General features: G+C 42.7%; 1 annotated feature.

Annotated features, from left to right (window-relative positions):
- Positions 201-250: a silencer, noted in NCBI's record as "silent region_1619". NCBI's record gives its function as "represses an Ori minimal core promoter by ATAC-STARR-seq in GM12878 lymphoblastoid cells {active_cell/tissue: GM12878}" and the evidence as "EXISTENCE:reporter gene assay evidence [ECO:0000049][PMID:35858748]".

Raw genomic sequence — 6,728 nt, 5'->3', positions numbered from 1 at the left:
AAAGAAGAAAGCAGTATATAATTCCATAATAAAATATTATATTAATGATAATTGTTAACATTTCACAGTGCTGAACACTTTATAGGGATTACTTGATTTACACCCTACAGATATATGAGGTAAATCACTTAGGATGTTTTTGGCTATAAATAATAGAGGACCCTAAGCAGTAAAACATTTATTTTCTCACGTAGCAACAACTCTAGAGGTAGTACAGAGCCTGAGCTGCTAAATTCAGTGGCTGAACAAAGTCATCAGGGATTCAGGTTACTTCGAGGCTTTCTCTCTGTCATTCTCATTGACCTTATCTTCAGATTAGCAACCATTGTGGTTTCAAGATGGCTGCAACACTTCCGGTTACCTCATCCTCACAGACGTCCGGGGCAGAAAAGAGAGCTTTATTCTATAAATATATATCTGTATCTATATACTAGATAGTATATTTCTTTATATTCTTCACATTTATGACAAGGGAGGACTTTATCCAGAGACCCTGCAGCAGAATCCTTCTCACATCTCCCTAACTAGACCTGGATTTCCCACCCACACCTCAATGTATCACCATGAGAGGAAAGGGGAGTCCCCATGATTGACTGGGCTCCATCTGCTTCAGTCTCTGCAGCCACGCAGGCATCCAGGCCACCTCCTCTGATGCACAGGAGAGGAAGGAGAATAGATACCAAAAAAAAAAAAAAAAAAAAAAAAAGCCAGGCACCGTGTAATCCCTGCATTTTGGGATCCCAAGACAAGACGATAGCTTGAGGCCAGGGGTTTCAGACAAGCCTGGGCAACAGAATGAGACCCCATCTCGAAAAAAATTTTTTAAAAAATAGCGAACCATGGTGGCACACACTTGTAGTCCCAGCTACTTGGGAGGCTGAGGTGGGAGGATCGCTTGAGCCTAGGAGTTCAAGGCTGCAGTGAGCCAAGATTGTTCTACTGCACTCTAGAATGGGTAACCCTGTCTCAAAACAAAACAAAACAAAACAAAAAACCAAAATGGGGGTTCTATAAGAAGAAAGAAGAGGCACGTGGCTATTAAGAAGGCAAATAATTATTTTCATTTTACAGTTCAAGAAACTGAGGTTTTGAGAATTTAAGTAACTTGTTCAGGGTCGTACAACTTGTAAGCAGTAGAGTTGGGATTCAAAACAAGCCCATACCCTGGAATATTCCAGATCAGGTCCAACATCACCTCATCCTAAAGCTCTTCTGACCCGCACCTCCAAGTCATTCTTCATTCCAGGGTCACAAGGCTCACCTGCCCCCTTGAGCACTCATGCACATCTACTGTTTGCCCCTCCAGGGCAGGGACTGGGTCTCATTCATCATTCTCTTTCTCTTTGCCCCTATGTCCCCAACATCATATTTATTTGCTTTTTAAATAAGTCTCCATTTACCCTCCTCATTGGATTTTCCTTCTCAGGATAGAGTATATCTCCTTTCTTTTGCCTCTTCCTCACCCTGGCCACTGCCTAAAACTTAGCCTTAACACCTGGGAAAGATTCAGAATAAAGAAGGGCTCAGACTTTGGACCCTGACAGGCCAAAGTTTCCATTCTAGCCCTGCCACTGACTAGCCATATGGCTTCAGGCAAATGACTTAATTTATCTAAACTGTACTCTTGTTATCCATAAAATGAAGATATTTACCACACAGGGTTATGGGTGAGAATTGAATGAGATAACGTGAGTTTAGCATAGCCCTGAATAAATAAGAGTTATTATAGTGTCTTTAATTAACTAAAGTAATAAAAATGAAAACTAATGTTAGCATAGTATGTTGCAGTTTGCAAGGTGCTTGCACGTACACTATATAGTCTGATCCTTATAAAAGCCGTGTTAGATGAAGGATGCTCTCTACCTGTGACTACTGGGGCAACTGAGCCTGAGTGAGTTTCAGAGCCTTGCTCCTTTCAGACTGTTCTGTCACTTCCTGGGGTTCTACTCTCCTACCATGTTTGTGTGTCGCTGACCCTCCTTGTTGGGATTGCCTCTGTTATGGGTTCAATTGTGTTCCTCCCAAAATCCATATGTTGAACCCTCTAGTACCTCAGAATATAACCCTATTTGGAAAAAGTATCGTTGAGATGTAATTTTCTAAGTTAAGATGAAGGCGTACTGAAATAGGTTGGCCCCAAATCCAATGCGACTGGTATCTTTATAAAAAGGGAAAATTAGAATGTAGACATAACACAGGTGGATTGCTATAGCTATAACACAGGTTATAGCTATAACACAGGTTATATGGAATGAAGGCAGAGATATGGATAATGCTTATAAGCCAAGGAATGTCAAAGATTGCCCACAAAGCACTAGAAGCGGAGGAAGAGGCCTGGAACAGATTCTCCCTCATAGCCTTCAGAAGGAACCAATTCCGCTGCCACCTTGACCTCAGAATCCTAGCTTCTAGAATATGAGACAATAACTTTCTGCTGTTTAAGCCACTCCATTTGAAGTGCTTTGTGACAGCAGCCCCGGCAAGCTAATATAGTCTCCTTAGGCAGGGGGCTCTAAATGCAGTTCTGAACCGACTTCAGTCAGGATTGCTTTTTCCTTTGGGAGCCTCATCTGCTTGTGCTGGACACCACTGGATTTTACTAATCCAGTACCAGATTTTACATTAATATCTTAGTTTGGCATGTATGCACTCCCTGTACATGGAGTGTGAATTTGGAGAGGCTTCAGATTCTCATGGGAGCTTTGTTTTATTTTCCACCTGGAGCTCTTAGCAGAGAGTAGTTTCTTTTCTATTTCTTGAGCTGGTCGGAGAAGTTCATCCAGCCTCCCTTACGAAGAAGGGACCCCATTTCCAAATTTCCTAATCCAGCTGTTATGTAGGAATCTGAGCTTTATTTCCTTAAGATCATATCTCCTGTCCCCATTTTTGCATGGAAACCCCAGCTATTAGGACTTATATCTGGGGCCAGTCTCACCCTGCCAGCCACAGGATCAACTCATGAACTTGTCTTCTAGCTATGAGTCACATATTATAGTTCATCACCTGGGGATTTTGGTTTTCTTCTTTAGATCTTGACTAAAAACAATTCTTTTTTTTAAGGCTGTATCTTATTTATTTTATCCAGCAAGTCTTTTCCTGCAGGGGTGGGAGGTGGGGAATTAAATCAGCCAGCCATGTTGCTGAAAATGGAAGTCCTTGGAGTAGGTATTAGAGAAAAGTCTGTTTTCTAGAGAAAGTAAGGGCATTTGAGTTGGGGCAGTTCTCACATCCAGGTGGGTGCTTTGTTTCTTCTTGGGGCATGGTTCAGCCAAGCCATTGTAAGCATGTAGTGGGGAGCGGGTGTTCTACAATATGGAAAGAGCTGCTCCTGGAGGCTAAGGTTCCTCCCACAGGAGGGTCCTTAGTGTGACTCTCTCTCCTCCTCTCCATTCTCATCAGGAACCTTTAATACTCAGGAAAAATCAGAGAACATTGCTGGACTGGAATGGAGTCCTGGGCCACCTGAAAAGGATTTCCATTTCTCCTGTCCTTGGAAGGAGAGACATAAGAGAGCCAAGTACAGAAAATCCAAACTACTTAAGTCAAGGTTAGAGCACGACAAATCACCCATTAAACCCTTTTCAGTGTAAGGTTTAGCCTGCTAAACCCTTTTCAGATTATAAGTAAGAGTACCTGCCCACTCTCATTAGCATTATTTCCACCATGGACTCACACCCATAAAAGACAGCCCAGTTTCTCAGGTGAGGGAAACAGATGAGGGTCTGCTACTTTAAGGCCTCTGAGAACATGAAGTCCCTCCTAGGTGGTCTTACCAGTCCCCCTGCATCAACAAGATTTGGTACTGTGGTGCTTTAGCCAAGTATTAATAGTTACCCAGCCCAAGATGTTCCAGAACAGCCTTGTGCCACACCACATTGAAAATCAGGCCTGGGCCCTGAATATGCCACTGCGAGAGGAAACTTGCTTGAGTTTCCCATCAAGAGAAGTGAGAACTTTCATATTACCCAGAGCAACAATTTGCAGTTATTGGGGTCATTCTGAAAGTTGACTCAGGTGCATCAAAATAACTCTCATCATTTGAATGGTCATAAGAATCAACAGCTTGGCTATGAGAACATCAGGCAAGAGAGTACATAGTTATTTTTCCTGATTTTCTGCCTATGCAGATGTAAAAATTATACATAAACATTTTCACACTCTCTGAGCGGAAGTAATGTTACTCACTTTTTTTTTTTTTGAGGTGGAGTCTCACTCTGTCACCAAGGCTGGAATGCAGTGGCACAATCTTGGCTCACTGTAACCTCTGCCTCTCGAGTTCAAGTGATTCTCATGCCTCAGCCTCCTGAGTAACTGGGATTACAGGTGTGTGCCACCATGCCTGGCTAATTTTTTGTATTTTTGGTGGAGATGGGGTTTCACCATGTTGGCCAAGCTCAGCCACCCAAAGTGCTGAGATTACAGGCGTGAGCCATGGTGTCTGGCCATGTCACTCATTTCTGAAGTGAAAAAACTGGCTTTAGCCCCCAAGACTGTCAGGAAATGGACCCTTCATCATCCACCTCGATTTCCCCTTTTCTCTAAGAATCCCACGGCTAATACAGTCTCAAAATCTGTTGAATAGCCAACCATTCTCAGAAAAGGGAGAGGCATGAATAGTGTTCTTGACGTTGCTATGGTAACAAGTCCCCACCCTTCTTACCCTCCACCTCTCACCCTCATCTACCATGGGGAACTGACTTCATAGCTCCCTAGTGCTGTAGCCCACTGAAATAAAGGGGCTGCCACAGCTTGGTTCCTGCTCAAGCCAGCAGGGGCTTTTTTAGGAGGACAGCTCTCTGAGCGACCACATTCACCCTGAGCCACCTCCAACACCAGTGCTCCTTTCATGGGCCTCAGAGCCTTCTGACCCACTGGATCCCATCAGCTCTTGCTGTTTCCTCTGAGGTCTTGCTCAGAATGAGTGATTGCATCTACTGCCAGCCAAACCCACAGTCTTGTGCCCTTCCCAGTCTCTGGGATTTCTTGCAGGGTGGACTGTTGCTTGCTTTTTAATCTCCTAAAACCCAAAAGGTCCATCCTGACCCTTCTTCAATAGTTTGAGTACTGTACCACCAGAAGGGGCTTGCATTTTAGGGAAAAAACAAAAAACAAAGCAAAACAAAAAAACTGTCTTCTCTCCTGGGTGACTAGAAGGATCCAGACTTCAGGAACACAAAGGCTTATTTGCCACCCTTTTGGTAGACCCAGGACAAGAACTTTCATCCCTTCTTTCTTTTTCTTTTTCAGTTTTCCAGTTTTTCTAAATTAATTTTTTAGCCAGGCACAGTAGCTCATGCCTGTAATCCCAGCACTTTGGGGTGGTCAAGGCAGGCGGATCACCTGAGGTCAGGAGTTCAAGACCAGCCTGGCCAACATGGTAAAAACCTATCTCTACTAAAAATACAAAAATTAGCCAGGCGTGGTGGCAGGCACCTGTAACCCCAGCTACGCGGGAGGCTGAGGCAGGAGAATCGCTTGAACCTGGGAGGCGGAAGTTGCAGTGAGGCAAGATAGTGGCACTGCACTCCAGCCTAGGTGACTGAGGGAGACTCTGTCTCAAAAAGGAAAAAAATAATAATTTTTAAAAAGTATCATACATAGGCCAGGTGTGATTGCTCACACCTTTACTCCCAGCACTTTGGGAAGCCAAGATAGGAGGATGGCTTCAGCCCAGGAGTTCAAGACTAGCCTGGGCAACATGACAAGACCCCATCTCTACAAAAAATAAAAAATTAGCTGGGTGTGGTGGTGCATGCCTGTAGTCCCACCAACTTAGGTGGGAGCATCACTTGAGTCTGGGAAGTCACAGCTGCAGTGAGCTGTGATTGTTCCACTGCACTCTAGCCTGGCTGATAGCACAAGACCCTGTCTCAAAAAAAATTTCATATATAATATACTGTGCCACTTATACTTTGATGGCATAATAGCCATTTCTGCTCAATATTTATTTATTTTTGAAATATCTTGTTGATTTAAAGTTGTGTTTTTGTTGATTTACTTTATTATACCAGAAAATGAGGTATGATGACTTTGAGATTTGAAGCTTTTGCTAGTCCTCTGAGCTTAGTAATCGTTATGCACACGAATCACTTTTTAGTGACAATGAAACTTCAGTTTACCTGCCATCAAATTGTTTAGGAAACTGGAATGAAAATAGTTTTTGGTTTTTTAGTCTTAAAACCATTTTAGACATTAATATTGTTAAAGTGTGTTGAGCCATCTCTGCCATCTTTGATAAAGTATTTTGAATGTACTTAACTTTTAATTGTTTATGGCTCACTTACTTATCCTGTCCCACATCATACAGGAGCACCATGAGCGGTGGGAGAAGGATACAGGGTGAGTGCTGTGATTATTTACACTTAGCCCCAAACTGTTAAGATCTTTTAGGATTTTGTTCTGCTTGTCAGAGTTTATTCTCTTGTCAGACTGCTATCTCGTTCTTTCCACTGTCAATGCGAATTTTCTTCTTCAATTAGTATGTTTCTTATAATCTCCTATTATGTAGGGAATGAATCAGTTAGGCAAACTGGTTAACATTGTGTCTAAAGAAAGTAAATTGGCTCTGAGTAAAGTGGCTCTTTGCATAATTCACTACCCAAGACTTCAGAACATTGATTCTAGCTGAAGTTTTTAAGGGTAATCTTTTGTTCTTTTTTTTTTTTTTTTTTTTTTTTGAGACAGAGTCTTGCTCTGTCGCCTAGGCTGGAATGCAGTGGTGTGATCTT

This window comes from Homo sapiens, chromosome 1 (assembly GCF_000001405.40).
Source record: "Homo sapiens chromosome 1, GRCh38.p14 Primary Assembly".
Classification (NCBI taxonomy): Eukaryota; Metazoa; Chordata; class Mammalia; order Primates; family Hominidae; genus Homo; species Homo sapiens.
Note: the sequence above shows the minus strand (reverse complement) of the source record. Positions and strands in the feature narration are given on the sequence as shown.